Source organism: Homo sapiens, chromosome 9 (genome assembly GCF_000001405.40).
Source record: "Homo sapiens chromosome 9, GRCh38.p14 Primary Assembly".
Classification (NCBI taxonomy): Eukaryota; Metazoa; Chordata; class Mammalia; order Primates; family Hominidae; genus Homo; species Homo sapiens.
The window spans coordinates 91,900,885-91,920,637 of record NC_000009.12 but is presented as its reverse complement, the minus strand read 5'-3'; the positions used below and the strand labels follow the sequence as shown (position 1 = coordinate 91,920,637).

The following is a 19,753-nucleotide window of genomic DNA, read 5'->3' as shown; positions in this document are numbered from 1 at the left end:
CCAGGTGTTTAGGAAGTACCTGCTGAAGGAGTGAAATGCTAGGCTTCCTCACCTGATCTCTGTTCCCTTGCCTCTTTCTGAATGTCTCCTGTGGGCAGGGTAAAGCATTGTGTACTTGTTCTTTTTCTTTTCCAGACAGGGTCTGGTTCTGTTACCCAGGCTGGAGTGCAGGGGTGCAATCATAGCTCACTGCAGCCTCAAACTCTTGGGCACAAGTGATCTTCTCACCTCAGCCTCCCGAGTAGCTGAGACTACAGGCATGTGCCATCATGCCCAGCTAACTTTTAAATATTTTGTAGAGATAGTGTCTCGCTATGTTGCCAGGGCTGATCATTAACTCCTGGGCTCTAGTGACCTCCCACTTCGACCTCTCAAAGTGCTGGGATTATAGGCATGAGCCACTACGCCCGGCCATCGTGTTTATTCTTAAGCACAAGTAAGGGCTTAAAGTTAAAGTAAAAATGCTTTTTAAATTTTTTCCTTTAATGAACATGGAATTCATTGAGGTTTTGATTCTTTTATAATTTTTTATGTTACTCAAAAGAGAAGGAATAATATCTCCTCAAACTTTGTTTCACAAATGGCCTGTTGATATTGGGAGTTGAGTGGGATTTATGTGCTGGCTTCTGAGGGGGTCAAGGGAGCCTGGTGGGGCAGGTGTGGGATGGCGGTGGGTGCTGCTCCAAATATTCCCTTCTAAACTGTTCAAAATATTTCTGAAAGTTCAGGTTCAGTAAATGCTGGTACCGGTTGTTGGTTCTACTCTCCTCCGAGTCCACCCCAGTGGTTGACACCTCCATGAAGGTGGGCTGGGAAACCTTCCCAGGAAGGGTACAGGAGGAAAAGTGTGAGATCGGCCAGGCTGGGTGAAACCCTCCCCACTCCGGCCCCCACCCTGCAGGATGAAGGAGCAGAGTGGGCTGGGGGAAGCAGCTGCCAGTAGACTTTATATCATCAACCACCAGAAGGGCAGGTTTTCCAGGAGACTTAGAGCTGAATGGGTGTCATAGGAACCCTGGTACACATTTGGTAAGAAAGAAAAAAAAACCTAAATGAGGCTGAATGATCCTCTGAGAATTTTGAAGAATGTTAATACTGAAAGTGAGGTTGAGGTGTAGGATTCATGGTGGGCAGGTTGTAAACCTGGTGTTTCCGTTGGATTCAGATGGTCCAGTGCTCGGAGACAGCGAGGAATTTGTGGGTTCTCCTGAACCGTTGTTATTACACGAGTTGGCCTTTGCTTTGATGTGAATTTATCCTGAATGAATTTGGTATTTAAAGAAAGAACAGTCAAGAAAGCAGAGTCTTGTAGAGATCCAAGGCATACCATATTTTACGTTTGAGCTCAGGAATTCTGGTTGCCTGAGCATCAACTGTTTAAAAGCAAGGGGATCGTGCCTAAAAGCCCTAATTATTGTCAGTAGCAATTACGAATGTTTATTAAGTGCCCATTTAAAAGCCAATATTGTTATCCTGGCAGTATGAGGAAGTAGTATATTTATCATGTAGTATTTGTCCTTAAAGATTTCTAATCTACCTGGGAAGCTGGACTATATGTGTTAAAACATGATGCAAATAAAATCCTAGGCAGTCTGGCTGTGTTGAGTGGAGTGGTCTGGAAATGAGGTCACAGGGGTGCGGACTGCAGAGAGGGGCGGGGAAGACCTCAGAGAGGGACACTCAGTCTGTGGGCATGACAAGGACAGGGGTTGGGGGGCTGTGTACGTGTGGGCTTATTGCTGAATTTTGCCTTATTTTGCTTTTTCAACTTCAGTCATCTGTAATGAAAGGAGCTTTTGCTACATGTAAGCCAGCCTTTTAGAGTTGACCACCAGTTATGTGCACAGGACATTTGTAGGCTCTTCCTGTCCCTTTTATTTTAACAACAGAATTCTTAAAATTAAGAGATAGAATCCACAAGCCAATACAATTCAGCTTTTCGGAGCGTACAATTCACCAGTTTTTAAGATATTCACAGAATCGTATAACCATCACTACTATGGAATTGCAGAAAATTTTTATCACTTGCTTCTGTTTTGACAACATATTACATTGTGTCATAGGAGACTGCCTCTCTTTAAGCCCGTTTCAACCTACAAAAATGGCAGTTTCCTATGTTCAAACCTAATTTACCTACTGTCAAACACTTGTCTTAAAAGCCCTCCTCTGAAAGCTAGCATGAGATTTTTCCTCCACCTTCTTTTAAACTGTCGGAAAGTATTTAGGGTTAGGGAACCACATGTGCTGAGAACAGTTAAGGGACTTTATAGGGAGCCTAGGGTTGGGGTGGCTTCAGATCTTTGCAAGTCTGTTAAGTGGGAGAACTTGACCTCTGGCCCTGTGCCCTTCAACAACTTCTTTTTTTTTTTTTTTTGAGACGAGTCTCCTGTCGCCCAGGCTGGAGTGCGGTGGCGCAATCTCAGCTCACTGCAAGCTCCGCCTCCCGGATTCACACCATTCTCCTGCCTCAGCCTCCCAAGTAGCTGGGACTACAGGCGCCTGCCACCACGCACAGCTGATTTTTATATTTAGTAGAGACGGGGTTTCACCTTGTTAGCCAGGATGGTCTCGATCTCCTGACCTCGTGATCCGCCTGTCTCGGCCTCCCAAAGTGCTGGGATTACAGGTGTGAGCCACCGCGCCCGGCCTGTGCCCTTCAGCTTCTAATGGGAACAGTTAGGATCACTGGGTGGAGGTTACTGGGACACCAATTTCAGTTTGATACAAGAATGAGCTTTCTACTTATAAAGCTGCCTCACTATCCAGCTCTGTGCAGTGTCCAGGTGTCATTGGGTGAGCTTGGATGGAGGCAGAAGGATGCCCTGCACTGTGGCCTCCAGTAGGAGTGCCCTGCTGGCCTGTCTGGCTTTGCTCACTTGTCCAGATGCTCTCCTGAGCACCCCAACCCCAGTGTGCACCCACGCATCTCTCTCCCCTATGCAGCTCTACACCAGGTACGCTGGTTTTGCCCAATGTGGGGAGCACCGTTGCTGTGCTCAGCCTGCAGAAGTGGGATCTGTGCCCGCTGTGGGGAGGGTTGGCCAACGTTGGGTGCCCAGGTCTTCCTGGGCATGCTTTCCAGGGTTTCTAGCACATTTCCTTTTCAGCACAGATGATGCTCTTAAAGATTCGGGGTGTGGCCCAGGGGTGCCCTCTCAGTGAGGACACACGAGCTTCCCTGCCCTCTGCATAATGTGTCAGCGTCCACACCTCCAGTCTGGGTCCTTTTTTGTGACATGGATCGTACTTCCCCATGAACTCCAGTCTCTTTCTTGGCGTTGTTTCTCTGCACGTATCTTCTTCTCGCACGTGTCTGGGTTTGAGATTATTTTTCCTATGTTGATTTTTAGATGGTATTGGCCAAAGTGTTTAGAACTAAGAAACCTACAGACCCAGCGTAAGGGGGTAAATGACAGCACAAAAAATAGAACAGAGAGTCTGTTTGAAGAGGGAATTTGAAATTCATGCCAGACCAAAAATGGTTGAGCTGAAGCATTGCTCTTAAATTGTTTAAGGGAGTGGGAAGAGTGCAGTGGGGTCAGGAGGAAATTAATGAACTTCAACGAAATGGTTGGTGATGGAAAACATATAAGCAACACGTGAATAAACACGGGGAATTAATTTTGGAGCTGCTGGGAAGGAGTAAAACTAAAGAATAAGCAAGGAAAAGCAGAGCGTCTGTGGGGGCAGGGAACATTTTCCACTCCAGCATGGGACAACCTCGACCATCTAGTGAAGCCTCTTCTTTGAAAGCTCTTGAGAGAATCTTTCTACCATGTTGGTGGCCGACTTCACCTTTCTTCCTCCTTTGCCAGTTTCTTGGGAGAAAATGGTAGTTAAGTATTTTTGTATGATAAGGCTTCAGATTCTAAGAGCGATTCCAAGATTTTTTTCTTAAATTACCAGGAAAAAAGTCCATATATGAAATCCCAGTGTCAGGACCTGGAAAAGGGTCCCAAACACATTGGCATCCACTTAGATGCTTTGCTAGCAGTCTGAATTACCATAAGGAAAAAACCGTACATAATGGAACCAGATGGGAGTGGCTGGCTAATATTTGGAATTCTTTCCACTTAAGAATTATCTTAATTTGAGGAGGATCTTTGAAGTCCAGGGGAAGTTGCCAGGTGGGGAAGAGGGAGTTCTGTGGGTAAAGGTGAGGGGCAGGGTGGGAGCCCAGGGTTTCCCTCAGGACTCCCTGCAGGGAGTGCATCAGGGCTGGCCTGGCTGCGACAGGTGGGGCATTGCATAGGCAAAATGCTTGGCGAGATTAAAGAATTAACCAATATAAAGTCAGGGGAGCATCACCTGAACAAAATAAGCTAACAGGATTTGGAATCCACGTAAGATTATCCATGACTTAGAATTTCTAATTCCATTCCAGGGATTTTGGCTCCTAGCAAGAACACAAAAGGTGCCAAAAAGATTAGTTGCGGGGGAAACAAATTTCCGTGATTAGATCAAGACAACTTTGGCTGCTAGGAGCAGAATCACCCTTCCCTCCCTTCTTCCTTGTTGCTTTCCTGCGTGGAATGAGTTACAGCCAAGATGTGACTTCACATACATCCCAGGGCCTCTGCTGACAGATGCTATAACACAATTAGGATGGAGGTGTTAGAATTGTGCAACACTCAATTCTAGATCCTGCCAGAGCCTAAGCCAGGAACTTGGTCTTTGCCTCGCCTGCCCCTCATTTTGAGAGGTGAAGCCAGCTGGATTTCTGGGCGGGGTGAGGACTTGGAGAACTTTTTCGTTTTATAGGAGGATTGTAAAATGCACTAATCAGCATTCTGTATCTAGGATTGTAAAAAGCACCAATTAGCGCTCTGCGTCTAGCTAGAGGTTTGTAAAATGTGCCAATGACTGCTCAGTAAAAACATACCAATCAGCACTCTGTGGTTAGCTAGAGGTTTGTAAAATGGACCAATCAGCAGGATGTGGGAGGGGACAAATAAGGGAATAAAAGCTGGCCACCTCCCCCCGCCCCCCACCTCCCCCAAGACAGCAGCAGCAACCTGCTCAGGTTCCCTTCCATGGCTGTGGAATCTTTGTTCTTTCGCTCTTCACAATAAATCTTGCTGCTGCTCACTCTTTGGGTCCAGTGCCACCTTTGAAAGCTGTAACACTCACTGCTTCATTCTTAAAGTCAGGAAGACCACGAACCCACCGGAAGAAAAACTCCAGACACACCACCTTTAAGAGCTGTTAACACTCACTGTGAAGGTCCGCAGCTTCATTCTTGAAGTCAGGGAGACTGTGAACCTACCGGAAGGAACAAAACTCCGGACACACTTTCCCCATTGGGAGATGGAAATGCACCAACCTCTTCCCCAGGGGTGCCAGAGAAGATGATTCCAGTTAAAAGGGGGCTGCTGTTGGTGTCTATGGGAGCCGCGTGTGGTAGTCACAGTCCTCAGTTCCCTTCACGGTCCTGTGCCAGGTGGAGGCCGCTGCACCTAAGAGTCCTCATGTTGGGGATGACAACTCCGACCAGCTGCTGAGCTTGGGTTGAGACTTCAGCAACCATAAACGCCAGGTAGCAGGGTGAGGTACGGAGCCGCCCCTGCTGTTCTCGGGATGATGATCCCTTTGTTCAAATGGCTAGTTCCTGATCCTAGAAGCAGTGATGATTCCAGATACTACATCAGAGGGATGGAAATATTCTGACAGGGGTGATGGACCCACCTACCCATATGAAAGATGATAAATGTACTCTTCAATGGTGATGCTGAGTGGACTGGTGACGTTTAATCCAGAATTTAGGAAAGCAGCTGGAAGGCCAGGCCCTGTGTAAGTTTGCCCTGTGGACCTCCTTTGTGCTCCTGTTCAGGTGCTCAGGAGCAGGAAGGGGCCAGGTGACCCCTAGTCATGACAGATCTACACCTGCCGTGGCAATCACGGTTGCCTTTGTCAGTGATTGGTTGTCTGTGACTGCAGGTCCTGGTTCTGACCAATGAGATGTAAGGGGGGCGGGGCTTCCTTTCCAGGCAGAGGAGTTTTGGGGAAAAGCCTCTCCCCTGCCCCGCCGTACTGTTTAGTCAGTAGCTGGTGTGATCCCTGGAGCGGCCACTGTGCCCACAAGGTGACCGGCAGGAGGATGGAAAGCTCATTCACAACCCCAATGGGAGGGAAAGAGAACCTGGACCTCGGTGACGTCATGAACCACCTCCCCGCAGCTCTCTTGTTAAGGGAAGATTCCTTTATGGTCAAGAGTTTTCTTTCATAATACAGCCCAAAATATCCTCACTGCTAGAAATGAAGGAAGTTGTAGTACAGGGTATCTCTTGGGAATTTAGTTTCATTCTAGTGTTCGATTTTCTGAACTAAATTGAGGCCTCCTGGAGGTTTAAACTCTGCACATTTGAAATATGGCCACGTTATGCTTGGCTGGGAATAAGCTATCAACCAAGTGATAGGATGGCCCCGTGGCTCGAAGGGAAGCGCCTTTGTACTTGAGTTCTTAGCTTACACACAGTATAAGGTGGCCAGACAGTGGAGCGTGGCCCAGCAAGCACACGGGGGCATTGGCACTTGGCAGCGGTGGTCAGACTTGGGGAATAACAGCATGAGATTTTTTTTTGGTTGGCAAGAGTTTCTGGCTGGAAACTCTCCAGAGAGACTTTACCATCTTATTTTGTAAAAGTCTTTTTTAACATTAAAAAAGTTAATATTCATGCAATTGACCAAGGGGCCATTTTTCAGTGTGTACACTGGGTGGCATTAAGTACAGTGTTGGACAGCCATCACAACCATCCATCTCCCGAACTTTTCATGTTGGGAAACTGAGACTCTGTCCCCATTAAACACAACTCCCCACTTTTCCCTTCCCCCAGGCCCTGGAAACCACCCCTCTACTTTCTGTATGCATTTGATTGCTGTAGATACCTCGTATGTGAAAGCTTTTTGAAAATCAGATTTTTTAAACTGTCAAGATTGGTGAAAGTACAGACTGGCCGGAACAGAGGAGGATTTGGGGAGTAGTTTAGAGAGTAAATCCATTAGAGGTTGAAGTAGTCCCTTCCCATGCCAACTATGGGTACCTGGGTTTGTCCCAGTTGATGTCAAAGTTTTTATTAACGGTGGATCCAGGGGCAGCTGTTGGTAATTCTGTCTTCTACCTGGGCAGTTTTGGGTTTGAGTCTCCAGAAAAATTGGCAAGTTCTTATCTCAGCTGATACAACATAGAATTTTTTGTTGTTTTCATTTATTAGCAAAGCAAGAATCTTTTTGTCTCTTCTCTGGAACAAAGAGAGAAAAAAAATCAAATTTTGGAAAGACTGAAAGTGTGATTCATTCCAAAGAATAAAAATCTGCTCAACCGGTATCTACTGTGAATCACTGTTAGTGGTGCATTTGAAGGCTTTGTATCAGATACTGCTGTCTGACCTGTTTTTGTAGTTATTTTCAATTTTAGTAACTATAGTCGATTTTTCTTTTAAAAAGAGTACCATTGTATACTCTCTGCTGGCCTTTTTTTGTTTTGTTTTTTGTTTGTTTGTTTCTTGTTTAGATGGAGTCTCTCACTCTGTTGCTCAGGCTGGAGTGCAGTGGCGTGATCTCGACTCACTGCAACCTCTGCTTCCCGGGTTCAAGCGATTCTCCTGCCTCAGCCTCCCAAGTAGCTGGGATTACAGGTATGTGCCACCACGCCCAGCTACTTTTTGTATTTTTAGTAGAGACAGGGTTTCGCCATGTTGGGCAGGCTGGTCTTGAACTCCTGACCCCAGGTAATCCTCCCGCCTCGGCCTCCCAAAGTGCTGGGATTACAGGCGTGAGCCAACACGCCTGGCCTGCTGGCCTATTTTGTAAGTATTCCTATCCATTTTTATGGTCTTAAGATTAGCTAAAAATGAAATTATTCTATTAACTTGAATACTTAAGGGAAACAATATTAAAATATTACATTTAAAAATTATTTAAGGAATAGTTATAGCTGATAAATCAGAAATATTCCAGATTTTTCCTGTTACATGTTTGTTAATTTTTTTCCCAAAACACTTAAGCTTCACATTCTTTTAAATATGGAGATTTTTGCTTTGACTTTGGAAGAAAGCACATCCTGGCAGAAGAATACACAGAAGCATACTTTTAATTTTGAAATAATTTTATTTTTAATATATTTTTATTGATACATAGTAGTATATATTTTGGGAGCACATACGGTATTTTGATATCTGTATACACAATGTGCGATGATCAAGTCAAGGTAATTGCAATATCCATTACCTCAAACACTTCTTTTTGTGGGAAACATTACAATTCTAGCCATTTTGGAATTCATAATAAATTAACTGTAATTTTGCTACTGTACTAATAAGTAGGAAATTTTAGGCGTACAGAAAGGTTGCAAAAACTGTTCCATATTCCCTTTAACTCGGCTTCCCTTAATGTTAATCTCTTAAGTCAATTGATACATTTTATGAAAACTAGAAAGTTAATATTGGTATACTAGTGATACTATTAAGGAAGCCACAGACCTTGTTTGAATCTCTAATTAGCAGTTTTCTCACTAATGTCTGTTTTGTGTGATCCAGGATCCCACATTGCATTTAGTTCACCTGTTTTTCTAATTTGTTTCTAGTTTGTGACAGTTCCTCAGTATTGCCTTGTTTTCCTGACCTTGACACTTTGGAGGAGTACCTCCGATAAATTTTGTTGAATGTCCTTTAATTTGGGTTTGTGGTTTTTTTTTTTTTTTTTTTTTGCTTAGACTCAGGTAATGGACACTGGGCAGGAAGACAGCAGATACAATGTTGTGTTGTAGCAGGAAGCACGTGAATTTCTCTGTTCCTTTTCTGGGGATGTTTACTTTGATCACTGGGTTAAGGAGCTATCTGCCAGATTTCTCCACCTTAAAGCTGCTGTTTTTCCTGTCTTAACTAGTATGTATCTTGCCAGAAGATACTTTGAGTGTGAGTATACTGTTTCTCATCATGTTCTCCTCCACTAATTCTAGCCTCCATCTGTAGTTTTTGCTTGCAGTAATAATGATTTCAGCTTTTGTCTAGTGTGGCTTTGTATTTCACCATCTCTTCTGCATTTACTAATTGGAATTCTTTGGTCCCTACTTCCCTATCTATTTATTGAATTATTTATTGAAGCTTATTTTAAAAGTATGGTAATGCGCCACGTAATGTTTCGGTCAACAGCAGACCACATATACAATGGTGGTCTCATACGATTATATCATATTTTAACTGCACTTTTCTGTGTTAGATGTTTAGATACACAGATACACAGTGTTGCAATGCCTACAGTATTCAGTACAGTCACATGCTGTACAGGGTTAGTGCAGGTGTGTAGTAAGCTGTACCATCCAGGTCTGTGTGAGTATTGTATACTCTGATGCACGCATGGCAACAGAATGGCCTGAAGACGCATTTCTCAGAATGTATCCCTGTCCTTAGGGGACACATGACTATAGTTTGTTCTGGTGCATTGTTTTCAAAAAGAGCCTGTGTGTAGAACACTGCATTTTGTATATTTTCAAAGGAACAGGTGGTGGGGTAGTGTGCAGATGTGGAAATGGGCCTGGCAACGGCCAGATCCCTTCCTTTGTCCCAGGTATTGTTTGGAAGCATCATTTGTAGTGAATGACTAATAGTGTTCTGAAGCATTTTCTATTGTTCTAAGTTGTTTCCATCATTCTATATTATTAAAAGTATTACATAGTTGGCTGGGCGCGGTGGCTAACGCCTGTAATCCCAGCACTTTGGGAGGCTGAGGAGGGCAGATCATATGAGGTCAGGAGTTAGAGACCAGCTTGGCCAACAAGGTGAAACCCCGTCTCTACTAAAAATACAAAAATTAGCTGGGCATGGTGGTACACGCCTCTAATCTCAGCTACTTAGGAGGCTGAGGCAGGAGAATCTCTTGAACCTGGAAGGTGGAGGTTGCAGTGAGCTGAAATCAGGCCACTGTACTCTAGCCTGGGCAACAGAGTGAGACACTGTCTCCAAAAAAAAAAAAGTATTACATATTTTATGTATTTAATGAAAACCAATTTTCTTTGAATATGATGCTTCTCTTTATGTAGTTTGGATATTAACCTGTTATTAGATGTATGATTTGCAAATATTTTCTTTCATTGCCTTGGTTGTGTTTTCACTCTGTTGGTTGTTTGCTTTGATGGATAGATGTTTTTAAGTTTGATGTAGTCCAGTTTGTCTGTTTTTGTTTCTGTTGCCTATGTTTTTGATGTCATATCTCAAAGTCATTATTTAAGCATAGATTCCCATATGTAAAATTAGTAAGTCTCAAAGATATTTGGGGGTGGAGATACTAGTAATAGTAGTAATAAGCCCAGATATTTTGGAGTTGTTTGATAAGTCTGGCCAGATTGCCTTCAGCACACAGTCATCAATTCAATCTCCAGTCTGAAATGTCTGGAATTGCCTATTTCACATCACCAGTGCCAGCACTGGGCACTGACATTTAAGTTTCTTTTCTGCTAAATTGACAGGTTAAAAGTAAAGATTGGCTGGGCATGGTTGCTCACGCCTGTAATCCCAGCACTTTGGGAGGCTGAGGTGGGCGGATCACAAGGTCAGGAGTTTGAGACCAGCCTGGCCAATATGGCAAAACCCCATCTCTACTAAAAATACAAAAATTAGCTCAGTGTGGTGGTGGGCGCCTGTAGTCCCAGCTACTTGGGAGGCTGAGGCAGGAGAATCACTTGAACCCGGGAGGCGGAGGTTATAGTGAGCTGGATTGCGCCACTGCACTTCAGCCTGGGCCACAGAGCAAGACTCTGATTGAAAAAAACTAAAAAAAAAAAAAAAAAAAAAAAACAAAACAAACCTAAAAAAAAAAAAGAATAAAGATTATCAGAATGCTTATAAAATAGCTAATGATTTGAAGAAAAAGCACAGTATGTCCAGTATGTCTTTACTTTAGAAAGACATAAAGCTTTCCAAGATATTAAAACCCATAGATGGAACAGGAGGAAAAACCAGATCCTTCATACAGTTAAACATAGGAGCCTGGGGCCGAGTGTGGTGGCTCATGCCTGTAATCCCAGCACTGTGGGAGGCTGAGGTGGGAGGATTACTTGAGGCCAGGAGTTTGAGAGCAGCCTGGGCAACATGGTGAGACCCCGTCTCTACCAAAAAAAAAAAAAAAAAATTAGTTGGATGTGGTGATGCATGCCTGTGGTGCCAGCTACTCGGGAGGATGAGTCAGGAGGATTGCTTGAGCCCAGGAGGTTGAGGCTGTAGGCCACTACACTCCAGCCTTGGCAACACAGTGAGACCCTGACTCCAAAATCAAACCAAACCATGGGAGCCTGAGAGGAGAGGCAGGTTTGGTCTTCATTCCTGGTTTTCCAATCAGTGATGACAGATAAAAAAGCTCCTCTTTCCAATAAGAAGAGGATGCAGAGGGGGTGTGCATCATGCACCCCACTCCTGAGATGCACACATTTGACTCTTGTTACCCTGGGTGAGGAAATGCACCCATGCTATGAGATCCCAGACAGAGCAATGGAAATGGAAAAGGAGAAGCAATTAGCAAGCAATTTTCATTTTCTCATCAGAAAGAAATTATATAGGTTGTTTCTGGCAAAGCAGCATGTTGCGTTAGGCCCTGTGGACTCCGGTGCTTTGCAAATTAAAGAGGTTTGGGGTCATTGTGGTTTCTTCTTAAATTCCTCTGTTGGCTCGATACTGACAACAGCTGGATCTTCCAGGATGTACTAATTTGGGGTGATGGAAGGGAAACTCCCTCATGGTCAGTGGAGTTTTTAACTGTTCAAAGTGTCAGTTTTATGGGTTTTCATAATGAAAATATAAGGTGTTTACATTTTAAGGAATTTGAGTCACTTTTCTTAATTGGCACCCTCCGCTTGAAATCTTAGTGCTGTTTCCTTTGGCTCTACTGAATGTTTAAAATCTCAGTGGAGCTCATTTTGGGTAATCTTTTAAATATGTTATTAATTTTATTTGTTATTAGTATCAATTTTGAATTACCAGTAGAGGGATGCTGAATTTATTTTAAACTTATTTCTTTGAGACTGATATTGTTTATTTCCCACTGGTAATGGCGTATTCCTTGATTTTATGTAAACATCCCCTCCTATAGTGTAAGTACCTGGTCCCTATCTACCTCCTGGGGTTGTTGTTTTGGGGATTAAATGAGTTAATGGTTATAAGGTCCTTAGAGCCAGCACTTGACTTGCAGAAAGTGCTAGATGGGTGTTTGTTAAGATAACTGATACTAAGCCTGCTTGTTAAAAAGTCATTAAAACGTTATGTTTTTACTATTACATTTTAAAAGGCCTTCTGAGTTGCATGGTCAGGAGATGTTCTGATTGATGTTTTCTGTCAGTTGCTACTAAAACATCTCAAGCTGGATGTGCTGCGGGTGCCCCAGGCACAGCTTTAAATACAAACGTGTCCCATTGTCTCCCTTGGAGCCCTTCCTGGCATAGATAGCGTCCCCACCACTCACCATGTGACCAAGATGGAAACCAGGGAGTTGCTTTCAACTCCTCCCTCCCCCCATTGATAATACAGCTGTGTCACCTGTGCCTCCAGACTCAGTTTGGATTCCACTCTCTATCTTATCCAACTTTTTGTCATAGGGTTTTGCGGCATTTGCAGTTCCCAAAGGAAGTTCTTTCCCACAACAATTAGTGTCATCACAAGTCCTGGATGTTTCCCTGAAGACCAGATAGTCACCTTTCCCTTTATTCTGGCCCCTTGCCCTGTGCCCACCTGGAGGCAGTCATGTAGGGTGGCCCTGGGTGTGGGGTGGCCAAGCTGACCTGGGGTGGGGCAGCATCCGATCCACGCTGCAGCTGGGTAACCTGAAGACCTTGTGAGGCAGGAAGCTCATGACTCAATTTACTGCATTCTTGGGTCCACTGGGAAGAGAAATGCTCCTGTTAAGTATGAGGTATCCTGATAATATGCCTTCTGTTTAAGGAATGGATTTTGGAGGATAGATCTCAGGAATTTGGGAAGCCAGCCCCCTTTGTAGACATTGCAGTGAGTGGGAAGCGCCAGGTTTCCCAGCAGAGGAGGCCCTTCCTGTAGCTGCTCAGGGTGTGGCTTTCTCAGAAAGATGACTTAATTGACTCAATTTTGATCCCCCTTTTAAAAATATCACCTTTTTTCACTGTGCAGAATCCCACTTCAGTGATAACGAAAGAAACTTAGGGTTTAACGTGCTGATATCCTAAAAAGAAATTGGGCAAGGCAGTCACCCAGATCCCCTTGCCCCAGGAACTCAGGAGAGGCAGTGCTTCATTTCCTTTTGCTGGTGGATTTTGGACACAGCTGTGTCCATTTGGTTTGGGAAGGACATTCCCATGTGTGTTGCCTCCCAGGTCATCAGCACTGTCCTGCCTGTTAATGTGAGGAGGAGTCTGGGGGCTGCATGCCATTGTACAGGGGGAAAAATTATATGCAGAGCCATTGAGAATGTAAAGAAGGGGCTTTTCACCTGGAACAAATGGCTTCCTGTTTATCACTTAAGACAATTATGCAGATTTCTTATTTTAACGGATTTCATACGCTGCTGTGAGACAGCCCCCTGCCAATTTGTCTCCCTCAATTAAAAAAAAAGATAGATGAAATCCAATGGGGAGTTAGTGCTTAATGGGGACAGAGTTTCAATTTTGCAAGATGTAAAGTGTGCTGGGGGTGGAGAGTGGTGATCCTGCACAACACAGTGAATGTTCCCACCGCCACCAAACCGTCCACTTAAAAGTGGCGAAGATGGCAACTTTTATGGTATACTGTTTACCACAATTAGAAAAATATAAAAGCCTGAAAACCTGAATCCACTGAGTTCTAGGCGCTCTAAAGCTGGAGCCTGGACCTTGGAAGTCCTTGGTGCTTCTCAGACTGTCCGTGGTGCAGAACTATGTAGCAGGTTCTCCCTCCAGCTACTGCAAACCAAAACGTTTCTAAAATATAATGAAAAAGATTAATAGAAAATAAAGACCAAAAAGGATAGATGAAATCCCCTTAATAATGCAACGGTCATTGACCATGACTTAAGAAAATAACAACAACGAAAGAACAAAACCGAGGGGATTTTCTTGAATTCCATGAATGAAGGGGAAATGAATGGTGGAGGTGGCTCTTGGAAGGTCAGAGAATTGAGGGGCATTCTCTGCTTGCAGAAGACCCTTGGCGGGAGCTAAGACTCTACCTGCAGTGGACTTGTGGCAGCCTGTGACCATGTGCCACTAAGAAGGGTGCTGTGGGTTTCCTGGGAGCTGAGACGGCAGAGCCACCCTTTAAGGTTTCGTTTTCCTCAAATGCGCAGACTTTCCTCAGAGGCTGCCATGCAGAGATCTTGTTCTGTGGGTCAGGGTAGAATTTTCCTTATGAACGGGCAGTTTGTCATTCCAGGTATCCTACTGGGCACAGAATTGTCCAGTCCTGCTCTGTCGTGCAGCCCCTCTGGGTGACCTGCATGGCTGCTGCGAGTGCACGCTGCTCTCCCCCTCAGCCCTGCCACCTCCTTCTGCAGGCGGAGTTGTGGTCACAGCCTGGCCACGGGAGCTTCAGGGACGCTGACGCCTCTCAGGGTTTTGGTGTGGTTTAAAAACCCTCTGAGTTTAACTTTATTATGCCTGCTCAGCAATTATTACTCTGTGTGTGTGTGTGGTTTTTTTTTTTCAAAGAATTCTCTTTAAGGGGTGTTTTTGCTTCTTCATTAATAATAGTTTCTTAAAACCACCAATTCAGGGTTGCACATAAATGTAGTCTGTAATTTTCTGCATTTTCTTTAATATGTAATCTTCCACTGGGATCAAGAATTCCCCAGGAGAGGCTCTGCTCTTAGCTCTTAAAAAAAAAAAGTTGATTGGCTCCCTCTCTTAGTTCTTGGGCTTTCAAATTTGCTTTAATTTCTATTTTCTCTCCCTAAAGAGTGTGATGGCCCCTCCCCCCACCCCCATTTATCTACCATGTAGTGGGGTTTGTGGTCTTCTAAAAAGAAAAACAGATTTTGGAGTGTATGTGTGGTGTACGTGTGTGTTATGTGTGTTTATGTGTGTTGGGGGCATCTGTATATGTGTTGTGTGTGGCATGTGTGATGTTTGTGTATGTGTTGTATGTTTGTGTATGTGTTGTATTGTGTCTGTGTATGTTGGGTTGTGTGTAGTGTGTGATGTCTGTGTATGTCGTGTATGTGGTATGTGTTGTGTCTTTGTTGTGTGTGGTATGTGTTGTGTGTTGGGTTGTGTTGTCATCTTTGTGTGATGTGACATTTGTATAGTTTTTGTCTCTCTGTGTGTGTGGTATGTGTTGTGTGTCTTGTGTGTATGGTGTGTGATGGTTGTGTATGTGTTGTGTGGTATGATTGTATGTGTGTGGTGTGTCTGGTGTGTGGTATTGTGTGTGCTGAATTTGTGTGGTGTGTGATGTTTGTGTATGTGTTGTATGTGGTGTTTGTGTTGAGTGGTGTTTGGTGTATATGTGGTGTTTGTGTATGTGTTGTGTATGGTATGTGTTGTGTGGTGTGTCTTGCATGTGTGATATTTGTGTGGGGGGTGTGTGTGTGATATGTGGTTTGTGGTGTATGAGTTTTGTGTATGTGCTGTGTGTGGTATATGTTGTATGTCTGTGTGGTGTGATGTTTGCGTATATGTTACGTTTTTGTGTGTGGTATATGTTGTGTGGTATGTGTTGTGTGTATTGTATGTTGTGTGGCATGTGACATTTGTGTATGTCTTGTGTGTGGTGTATGTGCTGTGTGTGTGGTGTGTGTGCGCACACGTGTGTTCTGCAGCTGTGCACCTTGGAGCCGTCCCAGGTAGTAAGCCAGAATGGAGGCAATAATGAGTGATGAGCAGTTTGTTTTTTCCCTTTTTGGAGGCTTTGCCTCATTAACTTGGAACCAGAGGTTCCTGAGGCCACGGGTGGCAGAGTCGAGGAGGCCTCCAAAGCCAGCAGTGGAGCGTAGGAGCCAGGGCGCTGGGGTGGAGATGGGATCTTTACAGCCTGGAAGGGACATCCTGTGTGTCTTGCTGCCTGCCACTGGGTGCCCTCCTATAGTGTTGGTGGCTGCTCCAAGCGCCAAGGCACCCCCACCATGGGCCTGAAGCCTGATTCCACTTCCTTGCTCCACAAGGCTGGGCCACCCTCTGCCTGGTCTCTCCAGGCTGTGACTGGATGGCTTTTCTCCAGGGCGATGGCCTGTTGGTCGTGGCGCAGGTCCTACCGCTCCCTACCCCAGCCCTTGGGCCTTCCAGCCCTTTATGGACTGAGCCCGCCTGACTGGAACATTCTTGGGCTCTTGGTGCTAGGAGGGCAGTGGGCTCCACCCGCTAAACTTGTGGCATCCTCAGGTCAGGTGAACAAGGCACAATGGAGGCAGGGAGCTCTGAGTTTCTGATCTGAGGAACCTCCTCACCCCGGGATCCTTCCATGATCCCTGGTGCCAAATCTGGCTTTGTGGTTAAAAAAGGATGACCTGGGCCCGGGTGTGGTGGTGCATGCCTGTAATCCCAGCTACTCGGGAGGCTGAGGCAGGAGAATTGCCTGAACCTGGGAGGTGGAGGTTGCAGTGAGCCGAGATCCTACCACTGTACTCCAGCCTATGCGGCAGAGCGAGACTCTGTCCCCCCCCCCAAAAAAAAACAAAAACAAAAACAAAAAATCAAAAAAAAGGATGACCTGTCAGGGCAGTGATTCCTACCTTGTGGGATGGTTCACATGTTTCTTTGAATATCTAAAACCACTCTCCTTTAAAAATATTTCAGCTGTTCACTGACTGTATTTTTGGAAATTAAATGGATATTGTTTTGAGAATGCAGCAATATCCCTTTAAATACGTAAAATAAGTATGGGCATTTTATTGCCGTGGACTCTCTCCACGACCCCAGTCTGAGGTATTTTTATGAGCTCCTAGTAAACCCCGTCTCAAGCCAATTGCGTTTGTTTTTGTTCCTCTTTGTCTACAGAGTTGTCGAATGCTCACCGGGAAGGGGTGGGCAGTTGTCCCTTTGGGGATGTTGAGAATGTGGGGAAACCACTTCCCATTTGCTGACTTAGGGGCTGGTTTAGGAGAAAATCTTTGTTCTTCCCTTTACAGAAAATATTTAGGTTGGGGTTGTTTGTTCCAGAAGTGTCTGCCTTGAAAATACTCCATGGAAGAATTTGGAGATGTAGGAATGGCTTAAGTTTTGACTTGAGGAGAAAAAAAAAAGACACAACGAATCGACTTCTTGGGGCCACAGACCACTCCAGCAGCCTCATTTCCATTTATTTTGGGGGCTTGTGTTGTAGAAGTGAGTTGATGCCCGATGGGAAGAACTGGAGCAGATCACCCTTCCCAGACTTTCTTGGGCAGGGGAAGCCAGCGGGTTGGGGTGTGGGCATCTGAGACCCCTCCATGCAGCATCTATCTGGGTTCCTCCTGGGCCGACTGCAGTCAGGGGCACAGAAAAAAAATCCTGTTGCTCTCTGGATGTGGCAGTTTTAATTTTCCATGCACTCATACTTTAGGGGAGAACATGTATTTTTTTTATTTGCTTTTGTTTAAGTATATGTATTTTTTTCTTTATCATAGTAAAATATGCATATCATGGAATTTACCATCATAAGTATTGTTTGGTGGCATTAAATGCATTCATATTGTTTTGCAACCATCACCGCCATCCACAGAACTCATTTCATCATCCCCGACAGAAACTCTGCACCCATTAAATAATGCCTCCCCCATCTCCTCCCCCAGACCCTGGCAGCCACCGATTCTACCTTCTGTTTCTATGCATTTGACCACCCTAGGGACCTTGTAGAAGTGGAACATGCAGTCTATGTCCTTCTGTGACTGGCCCGGTTCCCTTAGCATGCCTTCGAGGCTTATCCATGTTGCAGCATGTGTCAGATTTCCATTCCTAAGGATATGGTTTTTAAATAGTCATTTGTTTTGCCAGTGCAGATAAAATGTTTACATATTAACTCCATGCTGATGAAGCGGTTTCTTCTTACAGTGAGCTTAACAGTGTCCCTTTCTTGTTGCTTCAGTTGAGACTGAGCTCTCCAACTGATGCTGGATGTCTCAGGGAGGGCCCCATGGTGTCTGTTGGGGGTGGGGGCAGGGTCGCCCAAGGAGGGCCCTTGGTGTTAACGGAGATCCTTGGCAGTTCAGGAGGTCTCAGGCGGCTCACAGCCACGACCACCCAGCTCCCCATCGGGAACTGCTTTTGAGATCTGTTTTCAGTAGGGGCCTGAGGCGTGGGAAGGCCCTGGCTGTGAGAGGTACAAGCAGGGTGGGCTTGGTGGAGAGGTGATGGAGGGCCTGGGATTTGGGTTTCCTGGAGGGAAAGAAGGGAAAAGACCCTGACAGCGAAGGGGAAGTTTACTTCATTTTGTGATACCTGAGGATAGAAATTGAGCTTTGGTTTAGAAATGAGATATTTCTACTATGAAGAAAGAATTAAAGGAAAATTGAGAAAACCTTTAAAAATAATTGTTTCTCCTTCCTCTTCTTTGTTGTGTGAGTATGCATCTCTTACTTGTTGACTACTTAGATGAATCAGGCCGTCATCTGTGGTGGGGAGCCCTTGTGAGTTACTAAATATTTCATCTCCATGAGCCCCAGTTTCTGCATCTGAAAAATAGGAATGTTAACCGTTGTGTGGATTAAATGTTGGGACTGGTTGAATGAATTGAGGGAGGTATTCTGTGCGAATGGCCTCTTTTCAAGTGCCTCTGGCTCTGTTGGCCTGCTGCTCCAGAATTGAGGGTAGGCCCCCCCACCTACACCTGGCAAAGGTACAACTGACTTTTCCTCACACAGTAGCTATGGAAAAATAAACAAAGCTCCTTTTTATTTTTTGCTTTTTTTTTTTTCAGAGCACTCTTTTTTTTTTTTGAGATGGAGTCCCAGGCTGGAGTGCATTCGTGAGATCATGGCTCGCTGCAACCTCCACCTCCTGGGTTCAAGCAGTTCTCCCGCCTCAGCTTCCTGAGTAGCTGGGATTACAAGCGCATGCCACCATGCCTGGCTAATTTTTGTATTTTTAGTAGAGATGGGGTTTCATCATGTTGGTCAGGCTGGTCTCAAACTCCTCACCTCAGATGATCCGCCTGCCTTAGCCTCCCGAAGTGCTGGGATTACAGGTATGAGCCACCACACCCATCCCAGAGCACTTTTATTTTTAACCCCCTGTAGAAGGCAGATAATGTACTGAGCCCACATTTGAAATGACGTGAGCCTTTTCTCCTGTTGGAAAACAAAGATCTTAGTTCTAAGTGGGTGGGAAGATAAGCCAGTGAGGAAGGACACTGTTGGTTTGATTATACTTGAGGCAACTAGTAAACTATCACTACCTCCTAGTTATTGGTGTTTCATGATATCCCACAGGTATCAGAAACATTCACAAACTACTGACATGCAGATTTGCATTTCCCATGGGTACAGTTGGAGATAGTCTAACTTATACTAAATATGCTGTATAATTTATGTGTTATACATACCATGTAACATAGTATACCTATTTATAGTATAGTTTGCATTTCAGAAGAATATAGTTGGGCTGTCAAGTAACACAGTTTTACAAGACAGTTCTTTTCTCTAGTTGAAGGATGGTGGAGTGGAGGGGGATTCTGCCCGACCTTCCTGGCTCTGGATTCAGTCTGGCTGAGCTGAGGGGCCCCTTGTGCAGCTTCCTCGTAGTACACATTAAAAACCCTTCAGCTTAAAAAACAATCTGCCCAGAAAAGGGATTTATAGTCCAGTATCTGATTAAACGATGTGTGTTTCAGTTCCCAGAACTTTGCTTCCTAGTTGC

At 44.7% G+C, this 19,753-nt stretch overlaps 1 protein-coding gene across 6 annotated transcripts in view, besides 4 other annotated features; it reads left to right on the top strand.

Moving 5' to 3' along the window:
* ROR2 (receptor tyrosine kinase like orphan receptor 2) overlaps nt 1–19,753 on the top strand; it is a 227,628-nt gene that overhangs the window by 29,591 nt on the left and 178,284 nt on the right. The gene's annotated exons all lie outside the window — the stretch shown is intronic.
* Nucleotides 11,983–12,589: an enhancer, noted in NCBI's record as "NANOG-H3K4me1 hESC enhancer chr9:94670331-94670937 (GRCh37/hg19 assembly coordinates)". NCBI's record gives its function as "activates a minimal SCP1, AML or CMV promoter by ChIP-STARR-seq in naive H9 embryonic stem cells {active_cell/tissue: H9 hESC(naive)}" and the evidence as "EXISTENCE:reporter gene assay evidence [ECO:0000049][PMID:30033119]".
* Nucleotides 14,360–14,469: an enhancer, noted in NCBI's record as "active region_28588". NCBI's record gives its function as "activates an Ori minimal core promoter by ATAC-STARR-seq in GM12878 lymphoblastoid cells {active_cell/tissue: GM12878}" and the evidence as "EXISTENCE:reporter gene assay evidence [ECO:0000049][PMID:35858748]".
* Nucleotides 14,360–14,982: a biological region, named in NCBI's record as "H3K4me1 hESC enhancer GRCh37_chr9:94667938-94668501".
* Nucleotides 14,419–14,982: an enhancer, noted in NCBI's record as "H3K4me1 hESC enhancer chr9:94667938-94668501 (GRCh37/hg19 assembly coordinates)". NCBI's record gives its function as "activates a minimal SCP1, AML or CMV promoter by ChIP-STARR-seq in naive H9 embryonic stem cells {active_cell/tissue: H9 hESC(naive)}" and the evidence as "EXISTENCE:reporter gene assay evidence [ECO:0000049][PMID:30033119]".